Raw genomic sequence first — 17,693 nt, forward strand, 5'->3', positions numbered from 1 at the left:
ATCATGAGGTCAGGAGATCTAGAGCATCCTGGCTAACACAGTGAAACCCCGTCTCTACTAAAAATACAAAAAAATTAGCTGGGCATGGTGGCATGCGCCTGTAGTCCTAGCTACGTGGGAGGCTGAGGCAGGACAACAGTGTGAACCCGGGAGGTGGAGCTTGCAGTGAGCCGAGATTGCGCCACTGCACCTCCAGCCTGGGTGACAGAACGAGACTCCATCTCAAAAAAAAAAAATTTTTTTTCCAACAAATTTGTTTTTGATAAGAAAATATCTGATAATTATTAATTATCTGCCCCCATCCAATGCAAGATGGAAGAAGTAGTACTGAACATTAATCTAGAAAATTAAGAATTTTTAAATATATCCATAAGCTTGTATGTTTGACATCATGAAGAAAACCACACTATTCCTAAAATATATTATACTTTATGTCATAAGCAGAGACAGACTATTGCATGAATAAACCAAACAGAATTAGCTTACCATAGCTTTTTTTTGAGACATTTTAAAAGTTATTATTTTTATATTTCATTTACTCTCTTGGGTATCTAAGCTAGAATTGATTTACTTTCATTACCTTTCAAATTATCCTCTTGATTTAGGCTTTCAGTGCAGACTGGGGAACTAGAAATTCCACAGAAACAAATCTCAGAAAATAAAATTCCCTTAGAATATGAGTATCAGAAAATAATCTTCTAGGTGTCATGACATCAAAAGTTTAAAAAGTTGATACTTTCCACAATATTTTCATATAGCAGTTCTCTAGAAATGCTTACTGGATGAATCTACAATGAACCAGAGTGAAACTGCCTGTTACCGAGTAATATCCCAATGGGCATTTGGTCTGTAAATACCTAATATCCCAATCAAGTATCTGCTACTAGATTAACTGTAATTGTAAGGTACTGCAACTGGGAGGCATAGGGGAGTAGATTTTTTAAAAGAAATGTTCCAAATTATACTTTGGCCTAAGTATTCAGCCAAAGTATGCTTCTCCAATTCTGCCTTGGCCCATCTCAAGTCATTTTTGGTATCCCTGAATGTCACATGGTCAGAGATTGCATGATCATTCAGTTACCATCATATCTAAACAGGGTAACAAAAATCTGGCCAGGCACAGTGTCATGCCTGTAAGCCCAGCACTTTGGAAGGCCAAAGCGGGCAGATCGCTTGAGCCCAGGAGCTCAAAACTAGCCTGGGCAACATGGCAAAACCCCGTCTCTACCAAAAATGCAAAATTTAGCCGGGCGTGGTGGTGTGCGCCCGTAGTCCCAGCTACTTGGGAGGCTGAGGCAGGACAATCGCCCGAACTCGGGAGGCGGAGGTTGCAGTGCGCCGAGATTGCGCCACTGCACTCCAGTCTGGACGACAGAGCCAACCTCGTTTCCAAAAAAAAGTGAGTTGTGCACTGGGTCGCCAAGATGTCGTTCCCAAAGTATACTCCTTCACCCCTGGCCACTATGCCCTCAAACCAGCCGAATAGGACATGTCTTCGGAAACCCAGCGGGCGCAAGCCAAGTGATTGACCATTAAGAGCCTGGCTGAAACCTGCTTACCCTAACTGCCGAGGGCTCATCGAAAATCCTGCCTTGATTCCTTGGACCTATGCAAGATCAGCAAGTGTCTTTCCTAATTTCAGACCCACTCCTAAAAACTCACTCTTGGGAGCTCTGTGTGGAATTGGGCCCCTCTTCTTCTGGTATTATGTTTTCAAAACTGACAGGGATAGGAAAGAAAAACTTATCTGGGAAGGAAAATTGGGTCCAACATTTAACCTGTCATATTAAGTCTGGCAATGATGACTATGTATTCTTGCTTAAATAAATCGTCTATTAATCATTAAACAAACAACAACAACAGAAAGTGAGAATTTTTTTTTTTTTTTTGAGACAGAGACTCGCTCTGTCTCCCAGGCTGGAGTGCAGTGGTGCAATCTGCTCACTGCAGCCTCCGCCTCCTGGATTCAAGCAGTTCTCCTGCCTCAGCCTGCCAAGTAGCTGGGATTACAGGCGCATGCGACCACACCCAGCTAATTTTTGTATTTTTAGTAGAGATGGGGTTTCACCATGTTAGCCAGGCTGGTCTTGAACTACTGACCTCAGGTGATCCACCCTCGACCTTCCACAGTGCTGAGATTACAGGCGTGAGCCACCACACCCGGCCCAAGAATATTTTTTCAAGTATGTCATATAGGTGCAGTGGCTCACGCCTGTAATTCCAGCACTTTGGGAGACTGAGGCCAGCAGATCCCTTGAGATTGGGAGTTTGAGACCAGCCTGGCCAACATGGTGAGACCCCGTCTCTACCAAAAAATACAAAAATTAGCCGGGCATGGCGTTGTGGGCCTGTAGTCCCAGCTACTCAGGAGGCTGAGGCAGGGGAATAATTTGAACCCGGGAGGCAGAGGTTACAGTGAGCCAAGATCCCACCGCTGCACTCCAGCCTGGGTGACAGAGTTAGATGCCGTCTCAAAAAAAAAAAAAAAATTTACTCTTAGTATCTGAATATTCATTTTCCAATTTTAGGTGTTTTACATAAAACTTGGAATGAAAATCTTTTTGTGTCACTTTGTATGTTAAAATTTTCTCAATTAGATGAAGTATAAATGTACATTAATGCAAGAAGAAAATGTCACAATGATTATGAATGCTATTTATGTACGAAAGAAAGTAACAATTTTCAAATAGGCAAATAATAGTGTAATAATATTGAGAGAGTTAGCTAATGAATTTAAGAATATTAAATCCTTTTTCAGATGACAATTATAAAAACTTTAATGAAAAATACAAAGCAGAATAGAAATTTTATATCATAATTTCAATTGCATTCAGTTGTCATACCAGTATTAATTATACTAAACAAAATCATTTCTAAAGACTATGTTTAATTTTTAGTTGTTTTATACCATGAAGTTTTTTTCTTCCTTTTTTTTCTGAGACTCAAAATCCATGAATCTTCTATGAGAAAATCTTATTTGGGGATTCTTCACATGTTTTTGTAGATAAATTAAAAGCAGAATGTTAACTCTACCACTTCGGAATTTTATGAGGAGGAAAACCTCCAAAAGTTCTTACAACATAATCATTTTTGCTCCAGATATTATATATGTGTATACATATTTATATACATACACGTATATATAAACACAGACACATATAAAGACGTTAGAGGAAGAAAGTTCCTCCACCTATTTTGTATTCCACTAACTTCAGTGGAAAGTGACCCTCAATTTAGTGTCTGTATGTGCATGACAGCAATCATAGAAACAATCTAGCAACAGGCAGCACTGAGAAAATTATCATTACTGCACTATAATGTCCTACTCTTAAAATAAGATTACTAATATTTCTGAGAATAAATTATAATAACTTCAGGGATAACATTTCATATCTTCACATATGCCAGAAGTTTACTCTATGATGATGATACCGACTTCTGCTCCAGCTTTAACAAATATTGGTTTTCACACTTGGCCATTTGGCATTCAAAAAAGGGATATTTTGTGCACTAAATGTACAGCCAAAATATGTAGGTAATTCCTATGTCAATTCATTATTTCATTCCATTTTCATGTGCTTATATAAAATATAATTTTAAAAGAGGATCTTATATATTCCAAGGATGTAGAAAACAACTCACAGCCTCCCTTATGGGTCTAACAGAAGATATCATAAAAAACTCAACCCCACACAGAAGCACCAGTGATCTAATAACATTTTATTGTTAACTGCCAATAATCAAGAAAAATCCATGCAAGAAAGGTGTTAGTTCTTCTGATCTCTATACATTTTCAATGAATTCCCTTCACAGGCTGAAACTTGTACACAATAGAATTGCTTTCCATAGCTAAAAACTTACAGATCTAAGTTAGCTAGACTTGACTTCATAGTCTCTTAAAATATAAAGATTATTAACATCCTTATACATTAAAATTTTAATATTTTAAGATTTAGACAAGTGTCACGTAAGATGAATTTTTAATTAACTAAGATGAAATTGTCTGTGATTCAGTAATATCCAAAATAAAAACATTTATAAATGCCCAAAATCCCAATCCAGCAACTGATACCAGAGTAACTATCCTTATGAAGCAAGGGAAAGATGGCTGAAACTGAATGCCACAGATAGGCTGTGGTTCTCACTCAGCTGCTTAGTCATCTTAGACAAGTTATTTGCCCTTCCAAGTCTGTTTCCTAAACTATAAAATGAATATATTATTATCTTCTCTGTCTAAATGTTATAGACATATATATATAATATGAATATTATATATAAATATATATATAATGAATATATTATTATCTTCTCTGTCTATATGTCTAACTACCAAATGAAGTTATGGAAATTACAAACTCTGATATATGTAAAATATTGAGTATCATGAGGGTTCCAAATCTAGGATCTTTATTTTCATACCAACTTTATGAATAGACTGTGATCGATTTTTATGTAGTTTTATGTTTACTTTTAATGTTTACTCTCTTTAGAAACTACTTGGAACTTGATTATTTATTTATTTGCCATTCAAGAATGTGAGTATGATTTATGAAAATGTATTAACAGTTATCTGAAGTAATAATGTTAAGCTAGAACTCAAATTACAAATAAAGAAAAACAAAACAAATATAAAATCATTTACAATAGAGAAAGCTTGCTCTTTGCCAAGAGTAATAATAATCTGCTGAAATCATTATTGTTAGTCACTTAATGACTACTGTCTTGGTTGGTACACATCAGCAGCAGTCAAATACCACCTCCCAGAACCCAACCACCCAAAAAAAGATACTGGGAATAAGAATGTCCTCAGAAAGCTCAACTGTAAAACTAAAACATAAACCAGAACATAGATTAGGAAGTCAAGCACGGAGGATCAAGTAAAAGATAGGACTAAATTTAAGATACTAACATGCAATGAAAAGAAATATATCTACCAGAAATATGGAGGTGAGTAGTTTGGTCAGCAATGAAAGCAGTGAAAAAGGAAAGGTACAAAACACTATCACATAAGCATTAACCAGGAGAAAGGATATCCTATAAGGCAGATTGATGTAAGTAACTGCTTGACGAGTATATCATGGAGCTGAGATTATCACTTTATCAGAGTCGATGCCATTTAAAACTTCTAGTCATTTATAATCAACTCCCTTGTTGTTATCTCATGATCTTGTTCAGTAGGCAACTATTGAAATTTGGTTTTCCATTCAGCATTCTACAGTGAAAGAATACATTCCCTGATGTAAATTTCTAGTCCTTATTTTACTTGAATAAACTGGCGTTCTCTTGTGATGGGGATGTATATGCTCAGATAAGAATGTGGGCTCTGGGGATGGAAGCTCCGGCCGCGGAGTGATGGTGGCCTCAGCGAAGATGGGCCGGGCAGGGACCATGGCAGTGGCAGCAGAGGTGGCAGGGGCGGGGCGGCTGGCGGTAGAGGAGGCTGTGGTCCTCAGGGGGCTGTAGGTGGAGGTATGGCTCGGGCCAGCAGCGGGAACGGCAGCGAGGAGGCCTGGGGGGCACTTCGGGCGCCGCAACAGCAGCTTCGAGAGCTGTGCCCAGGAGTGAACAACCAGCCCTACCTCTGTGAGAGTGGTCACTGCTGCAGGGAGACTGGCTGCTGCACCTACTACTATGAGCTCTGGTGGTTCTGGCTGCTCTGGACTGTCCTCATCCTCTTTAGCTGCTGTTGGGCCTTCCGCCACCGACGAGCTAAACTCAGGCTGCAACAACAGCAGCGGCAGCGTGAAATCAACTTGTTGGCCTATCATGGGGCATGCCATGGGGCTGGTCCTTTCCCTACCGGTTCACTGCTTGACCTTCGCCTCCTCAGCACCTTCAAGCCCCCAGCCTACGAGGATGTGGTTCACCGCCCAGGCACCACCCCCCGCCCCCCGCCTCCGCGCCTTATACTGTCGCCCCAGGCCGCCCCTTGACTGCTTCCAGTGAACAAACCTGCTGTTCCTCCTCATCCAGCTGCCCTGCCCATTTTGAAGGAACAAATGTGGAAGGTGTTTCCTCCCACCAGAGTGCCCTCCCTCATCAGGAGGGTGAGCCTGGGGCAGGGGTGACCCCTGCCCCCACACCCCCCTCCTGCCGCTATCGCCGTTTAACTGGCGACTCCGGTATTAAGCTCTGCCCTTGTCCTGCCTCCGGTGAGGGTGAGCCAGTCAAGGAGGTGAGGGTTAGTGCCACCCTGCCAGATCTGGAGGACTACTCCCCGTGTGCACTGCCCCCAGATTCTGTACCGCAGGTCTTTCCCATGGGGCTGTCTTCCAGTGAAGGGGACATCCCATACGTAGTTTTGAGAGGGTGGATGGGTTACTTGCCCACCAGAAACAGCCCTAGTCCCAACTCCTTGCGTTCCTTTTGGCCCCTCCCTGCCTACCTAGAATCTGCCTGAAAGGGCTGGAGCCCTGAGGAGAGGGGCAGTATTGGGGGACTGTGCTAGCTTTACCCCCGCAAGACATACACAGGAGCCTTTGATCTCATTAAAGAGACGTGAACCAGCTAAAAAAAAAAAAAAAAAAGAGTGTGGGCTCTGGAGTCAGGTTACTTTGAGTTCCTACTGACTTACTTTGTGATCTTGGGAAATTTACCAATCTGTTGTCTGTTTCCTCATCTGTAGAAAGGGCGCCTAATAATAGGACCTATTTCCCAGGGTTGTTGTGAGGATTAAACAATTCATGTAAAGCACTTAAAACAGTACGTGTCACATAGCAAGTGCTAAACAAATGCTAGCCTGGTTATTATTTTTGAACATGAATTAACATTCCTGTGTCTGATCGCTCTGACACTGATCAGTTTCTAAATCTAAAAAACTGAAGCAGGGTCACTGTGTTTCACAACTCCGGGGGCATCAATGCACAAGAGAACAGAGTTCTCCGGCCGCTCTGAACTGATGGCATGACCTGGTGAATTCAAGGTCACCCACCTGTGAGGTTCTTTTTGTTAGCCAATCTGTCCAGGTGAAAACTTAAGAGTCATAAACCTAAAATGTCTACCCTAGTGAGGCAGATCTCCTAAATAAGTGAGGCACAGCTTGAGTGGTGAGTTTGCCAAGAAACTATGAACGATAAGACTGTGGAGCGTAGAGCACAAGTCAAGCCTTAAATGCTTTCAAATACAGATATTTTAAGATATTCTGTCAGGCAAAAACAACAGTATAGGCAGATTTTAGGCCTGAAGCCCACCAGTTTGCAAACCCTGCAGCACCCTTTCATTCAAACCTTAAAATATTTTAACTTAGGATAATGTACATCCTGTGACCTATTTTTAACCTTTATTTTTCTTTACTGCTCTGTGACTATCCCTTCTTTTCTCCTCCCTTGGTTTACAAAAACTTCTGTGCTCTTCTCCATACCTCTTGACACACATACCTTGAGTGGTATCATTCATTTCAACTAACATTTCAATCAGCTAAAAATTCCAGATATTTATATCCAACTCTATCAATGCTAAGAAATACCTCATGAATGGTGCCTGTCTACTTTCTCATTGCCAATGCCTTTGGTCAAGTCCTCATCTGATTTCTAGACGTTTACAATAGCTTTGGTTCATTCTATTCTCTCATTGTCCACATCCAGCCACCACTAAATCCTACTGGTTCTAACACCAATCAAACCATATCCACAATCCAACCATTTTCACCTAAACCATCATCATCTGTTACCTAAATTACCACAGCAGTTCCTTTTACTATTCATTTACCTCATTTACCATACTACTCATTTACCATATACCATAGAGGATCCTGTCCCTCCTCTGTTTAATCCCCCATTAGCTCCCAGGTCACTCAAGAGTGAAATCCAAGGTCCACACAATGGCTTACAAGGCCCTATACAATTGCCTATTACCCCTCTAATTTATTCTCTTATTATTCTCTGGCCACATCCCTTGTGTTTTCCTCAATCATACCAGGCTCATTCCTGGTCCAGGCTTTCTCTACCTCCCACTCCCTTTATATGGATGCTCTTTCCTCAAATGTCTTGGGTCTGGATTGTTGTCTTGTATCAGGGCTCTTTGCTCAAATGTTACTCTTTCATAAGTGCTTCCCTAAACACCCTCCCCACATGCACTTGACTCCCCATCTCCCTTTCTGCTTTATCACCATTGAACACATCTGTTTTTCATGTTTATTTTCTGTCTCTCCCAAGAAAATGTAAGTTTCATTACAGCAAGTTTTTTTCTTTATTGCTGTATTCCTGATCTTAGAACAATATGTATTAAGCTTCATGTTTAATGAAAATGACTGAAAAGCTTCCTAACTTGTCTTCCTTCTACTGATCTCCCCTTCTGTAGTCCACTTCCTCCTATCCCCCAGGTAGTATACCAAAAAATGCATCTGATCATTCTCCTGCTTAAAAGACTTTGATGGGATCCCCACATCCTTCGGGGTCTGGCCCCAAATTTAATCTGTTTCCCCATTCCCCAAAATAGTTGTACACTCTCCACATACTAACACTTTTATCATCCCTGAACCTACTTGTGCCATTTATCCATGCTTTTCGTGTATCTCTGTATTTACTTGGCCAAAGTTTTATTCATCCTCCAGGTCTAGTTATGCCATGATGTCTCCCAGAAGCCTTCATCTGTGTACCCCCACAGCACTCAGTTCAGGCCTCCATTATAGTACTTGTGCTATACTATGTATTTACCAATCTGCTTCTGCAACTAGATTATAAGATCCCAGAGAGCAAGTTCATGATGTTGTGTCCAGAGTTCTTTTGCCAGTGCTTAACACTATACTTAGCAGAGAGGAAACACTGCAAGTCTGAAGAATGAAAATGTAATGAATGAAATTTTATAATGAATGAAATAATTTGTTTATGAGAGGTTGGGGGAAAAAAAGAGTCTTCCTAAGAGTCAGAGTGCTTTACAACATCAAACCTGAGACCTGATATGAGTTTTTACATTTGCTAAAGAAAAATTTCCTTTAGTAATTTCAACAATAGTTAAATTAGTGGATTCAGGAATCAGAAGTAAGTTAATGGCTAGTCAGGAAAGGTATTTACTCCACGGAACATACCAATTTACACACCAGATATTGTGTGGAGCAAAAAGTGTACTCCAATCTGAGAAAAGGCATCTGCAATTTTTTTAATTAAAATTGATTTAAGTGGGAAGGAAAATTGAAAATTATCTAGTGCAACTACTTCATTTCACAAATGAAAAAAATCATGAAAAGGGGAAGAGCATTAACCCAAGTTAGAAGATCAGGATCAGTACCAAGGTTTTATTCAAAATGAAGGGCTCTCTCTCAAATGTAACACATTACAGTTCCAAACTACTCAAGGATTAAAGCCCAGAACTTATTCCATTACTTTGCTGTGCAAACTTAATGAAGAGTGAAGATAATATTGCAAGTAGGAAAATAATATTGCAAGACTGAAAATAATAATACCTGGGTTCTTATCTAGGTTGTATTTGTGAGATCTCAGACAATTCACTGAACCTTGTAATGCTACCTTAATTAACTACCACATGGGATTAATGTGAGAATCAAATGAAAGCCCTGTTGCAAATGAAAAGTATAATCATCTTTTCCATCCTCATCCTTTCAGGTTCTCCAGTGCAGTCTCTTAGCAAGTTTTCAATCTATATGGGGGGCCATAAACCACTTGCAATTCTGACTAGTTGGAGTTTTGTTGTTCTTGTAGTACAGGACAGAAAGCTGCGAGGGAAGGGTGGGGAGGTTGTTTATGTATTATAAACCTCCTCCCAAAGGGGAGTATTATCCATATCACCTATCAATTAAAGACTCTTTGAGACTCACAAGCTCTTAAAAGGTTCATGTTGAAAAATTATCTTTTTCCCCAGTACACGCCCTACAAAACCTTTTACCATTTGTATATTTCAGAAGATTCTGTAACAATTACTTGGGTTATATTTATCTTTTCCTACTCTACTACAGATGTGTCCAAAGCAGGGACTCATAGTATTTCATCTTCAGGAGCTGTGAATTGTTTTAATTGGGTCAACATCCAGTTGAAATATAAAACTAAGTGGCTGGAGTCGTGCCTGAGAGAACTGAATGAAAAAGAACTGAACGACGAGAGACCAGAATTATACCTCCCTCTGATTTCCCCCAACTCTTTCCCCTCTATGTCTATTATATATTGCTAAAGACCTTTAGAAACTAGGCTCTGGGCTTATGCAAAAGTCCTCTACTACATTCTACATAGCCACAAGTTTATTTACAAGTATTTTTATATTAATAACATTTTATAAAATACAATGTTTTAACTCCAGGTGTGAAAATATTTAAAGGAAAGTACACTAAATGGATTTTTTTAATTATTCATCTGGCAAACAATCTTGTGCAAAATGGTCACTATATAACATGTACAAGGCCAGGCGTGGTGGCTCATGCCTGTAATCCCAACACTCTGGGAGGCTGAAATGGGAGGATGGCTGGAGCCCAGGAGTTCGAGACCAGCCTAGGCATACAGCGAGACTCTATTTCTTTAAACGAGAAAAAAATTATGCATTCTGTGAATTCCATTTACATTTAGAATCTCATTCTCATAAACAGTAATATTTTAATTTGTATTAAATCAAAGCAATTGTAAATATAAATCATAGGCTTCATTTTTTTTCCTGTATACACAATATGCCTTAATTTTTGAAAATGTTATAAAAAGAATATCCTTGGCTGGGCACAGTGGCTCACGCCTGTAATCCCAAAACTTTGGGAGGCCAAGGCTGGTGGATCACTTGAGGTTAGGAGTTCAAGACCAGCCTGTCCAACATGGTGAAACGTGGTCTCTACTAAAAATACAAAAAATTAGCCAGGTGTGGTGGCGGGTGCCTGTAATCCCAGCTACTCGGGAGGCTGAGGCAGGAGAATGGTGTGAACCTGGGAGGTGGAGCTTGCAGTGAGCTGAGATCATGCCACTGCACTACAGCCTGGGCAACAGAGCAAGACTCCATCTCAAAAATAAAATAAAATAAAATAAAAAACTGATACATTGGATAACTAAAATAAAAAATTCTGCTCATCAAAGACACTGTTAAAGCCACATTCTAAGGGAAAATATGGTCAAGAACTCACGTCTAGAACATGTAAGAACTTCACCAGCTTACATATTTTTTAAAATCTAATTTACAAGTTGATAAAGATTTGAACAGAAACTTCACAAAAATATACATAAGCAGCTAATGAGCACATGAAAGAGTGTTTAACATCCTCCAACCTCAGCCTCCAAGTAGCTAGGACTACAGGTTATGCGCCATCATGCCTGGCTAATTTTCAAATTTTTTTGGTAGACAACTGGTCTTACTATATAATATGTTGCCCAGGCTGGTCTCCTGGGCTGAAGCAGTCCTCCTGCCCCTACCCCTCAAAGTGCTGTGATTACAGGCGTGAATTTTCATTTAAAAGAAATTAAATTAAAAGAAATTAAAATTACAGATGTGAATTTTAATTTAAAAGAAATTAAATTAAATTAAAAGAAATTAAAATTCATGCCTGTAATCGAAGCACTTTGGGAGATAGGGGCAGGAGGACTGCTTGAGCCCAGGAGTTTGAGACCAGCCTGGGCAACATATTATAGTAAGACCTTGTCTCTGCCAAAAAAATTTAAAAATTAGCCAGGCATGATGAAGCATACCAGTAATCCTAGCCACTTGGAGGCTGAGGTAGGAGGATGGCTTGAGCCTATGAGTTCGAGATTACAGCCAACTACGATAGCATCACTGCAGTCCGGCGTAGGCAAAAAGTGACACCCCGTCTCTTAAAAAAAAAAAAGAAATGAAAATGTATGTCCACGGGCCGGGCATGGTGGCTCACACCTGTAATCTCAGCACTTTGGGAGGTCAACATGGGCGGATTATTGAGGCCAGGAGTTTGAGACCAGGCTGGCCAACATGGCAAAATCCAGTCTCTACTAAAAATACAAAAATTAGCCAGGCATGGTGGCGCATACCTGTAATTCTAGCTACTGGGGAGGCTGAGGCATGAGAACTGCCTGAACTCGGGAGTCAGAGGTTGCAGTGAGCCGAGATCGTGCCACTGCACTCCAGCCTGGATGACACAGCAAGACTCTGTCCCCCTCCCCCAAAAAAAGAAAATATATATCCACAAAGACTTGCCAGTGAATTTTGGCAGTAGCTTGCTTTATTCATGACTTAAAAAAAAAAAATGGAAATAGCCTAGATATCTACCAGCAGAAGAAGGATGGATAAACAAACTATGGTATATTCATACTACTCAGCAATAAAAAAGCACAAACTACGGGTATCTGTAACAATATGAATGAATCTCAAAAGCATTATGCTGAATAAATCTTATACCAAAGATTACATACTATATTATTTTATTTACATCAAGTTCTAGAACAGGCATAACTAAGATATGGTGACAGAATTCAGATCAGTGATTGCTAGAAGAAGAGAATAAAGCTGATTAAAAACAGCAAGAGGGGCCAGGCCCAGTGGCTCATGCCTGTAATCCCAGAACTTTGGGAGGCCGAGGTGGGCAGATCACGAGGTCAGGAGTTCAAGACCAGCCTGACCAACATGGTGAAACCCTATCTCTACTAAAAATACAAAAATTGGCCAGGCGTGGTGGCGCATGCCTATAATCCCAGCTATTCAGGAGGTTGAGGCAGGAGAATAGCTTCAACCCAGGAGGTGGTGAGCCAACATCGTGCCACTGCACTCCAGCCTAGGCGATAAGGCGAGACTCCGTCTCAAAAAAAAAAAACCACACAAGGAAATTTTATGGAGTTATAAAAATATTCTGTGTCTATATAGGAGTGTAGGTTACATGAGTGTGCATATATTAAAACTGATCAAACTGTAAACTCAAGATGTATTTCATTTTTGTAAATTACACCACAATTTAAAAAAACATATTTGGACCACTTAAGAATAATACCATGGAGGCCAGGTGCAGTGGCTCATGCCTGTAATCCCAGCACTTTGGGACACCAAGGTCAGGAAGGTCACTTGAGGTCAGGAGTTCGAGACCAGCCTGGCCAACATGGTGAAACCCTGTCTCTACCAAAACTACAAAAATTAGCCGGGCATGGTGGCGGGCGCCTGTAATCCCAGCTATTCAGGAGGCTGAGACAGGAGAACTGCTTGAACCTGGGAGGCGGAGATTGCAGTGAGCTCAGATCGTGCCACTGCACTCCCTCCCGGGCAACAAGAGCGATACTCCGTCTCAAAAAAAAAAAAAAAAAAAAAAGGAATATACCATGGAACCTGATACGATTGAGAACCTTAATTTAAAAAACACTGCATAAAAAAGGTAAATGCTGTCATTTCAGGTGATCAGTTGATAATAAAATGTCTACAAACCCAAACTGAAATCATGCAGTAATACATACATTAATTTTTGGATAATCATTAAAGACCATAGAAAATGTAACAGATCCTACTCTTCAAAATAATTGCTATTCAGTATTAAAATAAATAAAGTGAAAGGTGTTGGAAAGATAGAGGAATTGATAGGAATACCACAGAAGTGGAAGAATAGTATGAATATCCATAAATTAATTTATATTAGCAAGAAATAATAATGCTTACATCATCAGATCCAGTCTCAGAAGGCCTTGCTTTTTTGGGTGCAATGACAGGGGAAAGTGATCCTTCAAAGTCAAACTGAAAAGTAACCCCAAAAGAAAAGATAAAAATCATAAATGCATTCCTGTCAACTGATCAACTTAAAGGATTCAGAAATCAGTTCTGCCAATTATGAAAACTGAGAAAAGCCATCAAAACTCATTTTTTGATCTGGAAAGTCATTATTTAAATATCTTTCTTCCAGGTTACTGTAAAGATGAAATGAAATCATATTAATATATGCAAACATCTAGAACAGTGCCTGGGCTCCTAAGGACTGATTTTAATGGTAGTTTCCTTCCCTCTCCTACTTCTGTAACAACATAGATTACATCACATCTTTGGTAGAAAAAGAAACTTTAGGCATATCCACAATATACCAAGTCTCAAAGGATCAACCCAATATCAGTCAAATGTTAGAACTAAGCAAACATTTATTTACAGTCCACCTACAGTAAACTATCTAACAATTCTATGGCAGAGACAAGTAGCTACTCTGGAAAATCTTTTTTCTCCTCTTTCTACTGAACCCACAGCCAGACTACATACATACGTCTGCCTCCTTTGAAGTTAGGTGTGACCCTTTGACAGAGTTAATTATAAATGGAAGTCACTGTCATCACTTCCAGGACCAGTCCAGTCCTACCCCTGCTCCTCCAGGCTCTTTGCCCCTTCCACCTGACTGGAATGCAGTCAACCAACGGCAAGCTTTGAACCGAAGACAAAAGATCCTCCATCAACCTGGGTTCCTGAATAACTGTGTGGCCTGTTTATCTGCTAAGCCCTGTTATGTAAACAAGACAGACATTTTTATTGTGTTTGAGCCATTGTATCTTTTGAGGCCTTTCTATTACAATAGTGAGCCTATCTTTTAACTAGTACAACTACATCAAAGCAGTTTTCTGCAAGTTGCTCTTCTTCAATTTCCCCTGGCATAATCTTTGCTGCCCCAGCTACTTCACATGGGCATTGACCATCAACTAATAAACTGTAACTCTATAAATGGCAATGGCTATTTTCCTATGCTGAAAAACTTACATATTTATCAACTCACTCACCTAAACAGAGTTGATTTCTATATAAAAACTAAACATAGGTAGCAATAAAGTGATTTTTAAAACCGAATGTTATTGAGAGAGAAGATTTGCTTGTGAAGCATTCAAATAAAAAACAGCCCAACTCATATATATTATAAAAAACCTGGTAGTAACAGTGAAATCAAAGCAACAAATATAACAGTAACTATCTAACCTAAAACTTCAACCAAAATGTAACACACACAAAGTCCCACAGTCAAAAAGAATGTCCCTGCTATAATTATCAGATTCATAAGGCCTGGAGTTATGAGAAAGTAGAAACTGCCTGATAAGGATGGCTCTTTGTGCCATACATGGATCTGTTTAATCTTCACTCTTTCAATGTGTCTCAGGTTAGCCAACCCTGTTATATGCTCCTATGGACCCTTACCCTTCATCTATCATAACACATGTATCAAATATTACTTATTTGTTTCCCTCAAGACAGTCAATTCCAGAGGAACAATCTGTTTTGTTTGGGGTATATGTGAGAAACCTGGCATCATGCCTGGCCCACAGCAGGGATTCAATATTTATCTAATGAAAAAAAGAGCAGCCCAAAAGCCACAAAAAGTTAACCCCAAATGCAACTGTTCCTACAATGTACAGTCCAGTGCACTCATGTAACACATCAGCAAATTAAAGAAAGCACAAAGAAATGCCAAAAATTGTGTAACGAGTCATTGGCAGAAATTCTGTACTCCACCACATTATATATGTGAAAACAAAAAGAATAAATCTGAACAAAGCAAAATGAAAACCATTTGCCAATGAGGACCATTTCATCCTAAGCTTTGACTATGAGGACAAAAGATAGCAAGGGTTTAACCACGCAGTCCTATAAATAAATGGCAAAGCAACTTGGCCTCAAGAATTGATTTCCTTATTCCTTCCTTTATAATTATCATGCAATAAGTAAGTCAAAGAGTCATGTCCTTCTTTGCAAAGGAAAAAATGGGTAGGTGCTCAGTCCTCCCCAAAACATGGAAACGCGAGGGGGCATAGGTTCTCTGCCAGAGACTAGGACACAACAATCTGTACTCATCAACAAGTTCCAAGGACAATGATACACAAAACTACAGAAAGCTGACATGCTTTTTCATAATGTAGAAATCCAGTTTCTATGAGGCTTAATCTTTTCACATGTAATAAAGAACAGAAAAATTGAGGATAATGTCACTTGGATACAATTGTTTAAAATTAGAAAAGAAGGCCAGGAGCCATGGTTCACACCTGTAATCCTAGCACTTTGGGAGGCCAAGGTGGGAGGATCACTTGAGCTCAGGAGTTTGAAACCAGCATAGCCCACATGGCAAAACCCCGTCTCTACTAAAAATACAGAAATTAGCCAGGCGTGGAAGTGCATGCCTGTAATCCCAGCTACTCGGGAGGCTGAGGCACAAGAATCGCTCCAACTTAGGAGGCAGAGGTTGTAGTGAGCCAGGATAGCGCCACTGCATTCCAGCCTAGATGACAGAGCAAAACCCCGTCTTAAAAAAGGAAAGAAAGGAAAAGAAAATTGTCCCTATTTTCCCATAAGATTTTTCTCAAGGAAATTGCAGACAGCAATTCCTTCATGTGCTGAAATAGACACAAACTCTTAAAAACAGTATCTCACTCAGATGGAAAATGGCATTCACTCAACAAATGTTCACTGAGTATCCTTCTATGCCAGGCAATACCACAGGTCCTGGAGAGAGAGAGTAGTAAACAAAACTAAGCAAAAATCTTTGCCTTCCTAGAATTTACATTCCAGTTGGGGGAGGAGGGACACAAAACAAAATAAGTAAAACATACAGTATATTATATTTAATTAAGTGAGAAGAAAGAAAAACAGGTAAATGGCACTAAAGGTATGGAGGCAGGTGTAATTCTATAGAGAGAGACAGGACAGGCAGCACTGAGGTGACATCTGAATAAAGACCTAAGCACGTCTTGTCGGAGGGAAAGCATTCTCCATAGAGGTAATGGCAAGTGCAAACACTCAGAGGCAGAAACATGCTGGCAGTGCTCAGGGAACAGAGCTGAGGCCAATGTGGCTGGGATGATGCGTGCAAAGCATTAAGAAATAAGACCAGGAAGGTGAGCAAGGGCTAGGTCACATGGCATCTTATAAGCCTATGGCCTTTACTCTGAGTGACATGGGAAGTCACTGGGGGATTCTACGCAGAGGCGTGACGAACGCAACCTGACGTTATCAAACAGGATTACTTTGGCCACTGGTCTGAGAAGAGACTGGAACATAGACAAAGGACATGAAATATGAATAAAAAAATAAGAACTATAAATAACTGATGAAAATTTGAAAAAACCATTCCCATTTACTTATAGAGAAATAAGATAAAATTTCTCAGGAAGCTGGCAAAGGTTCACCACACCACAAATAAACACTGTGGTGAAATGGGCGCTTTTAAATGATGCTAGTAAGAATGGCACCGGCGAACCCCTTTCCAAACATTACTTGACCTCACAGTTTCTCTTTTAAGATTCAATTCTTGGGAAGTAACTAGAGATGTGGTTAAAGAGTCGTGAAAAAGGATGTTTATAAATTACAATAACGAAAACAACAGATTCACAAGGTACAATTATTAGCTATTGGTTAATTATGATAAAACTACACTATGAAGAAATGATGGAGATATTTTAGAAAAAATTTTTAATGATAACGGGAAATTTTCATTGGTATTTTTATATAGAAGGTAACATCAAAAATATTTAGAGTGGTTATCTCTGAGTAGTATAATTATTTTCTTAATTCCTCCATTTTCCACATTTTCCTTTCATAATTAAGACAAAAAACAAGTTTTAAAAATGGATTTGCTGGCCAGGCACGGTGGCTCACACCTGTAATCCCAGCACTTTGGGAGGCTGAGACGGGCAGATCACGAGGTCAGGAGATCGAGACCATCCTGGCTAACATGGTGAAACCCCATCTCTACTAAAAATACAAAAAATTAGCCGGGCGTGGTGGCGGGCGCCTGTAGTCCCAGCTACTCGGGAGGCTGAGGCAGGAAAATGGCATGAACCCAGGAGGCAGAGCCTGTAGTGAGC

General features: G+C 39.8%; 1 protein-coding gene and 2 pseudogenes across 2 annotated transcripts in view; 2 read left to right on the forward strand and 1 right to left on the reverse strand.

The window, feature by feature from the left end:
* RGPD2 (RANBP2 like and GRIP domain containing 2) overlaps nt 1-17,693 on the reverse strand; it is a 233,859-nt gene that overhangs the window by 211,225 nt on the left and 4,941 nt on the right. Inside the window, exon 4 of one of the 2 annotated variants that reach the window (XM_017004845.2) lies at nt 13,531-13,605. The exons of the other annotated variant lie outside the window; for it this stretch is intronic. Within the exon in view, the coding sequence (XP_016860334.2) occupies nt 13,531-13,605 (75 nt within the window). The remainder of the gene's footprint in view (nt 1-13,530; nt 13,606-17,693) is intronic. 2 annotated transcript variants of the gene reach the window in all.
* Nucleotides 1,405-1,846, forward strand: NDUFB4P7 (NADH:ubiquinone oxidoreductase subunit B4 pseudogene 7; annotated as a pseudogene).
* Nucleotides 5,317-6,506, forward strand: WBP1P2 (WBP1 pseudogene 2; annotated as a pseudogene).

This window comes from Homo sapiens, chromosome 2, assembly GCF_000001405.40.
Source record: "Homo sapiens chromosome 2, GRCh38.p14 Primary Assembly".
In the NCBI taxonomy this organism is placed as follows: domain Eukaryota; kingdom Metazoa; phylum Chordata; class Mammalia; order Primates; family Hominidae; genus Homo; species Homo sapiens.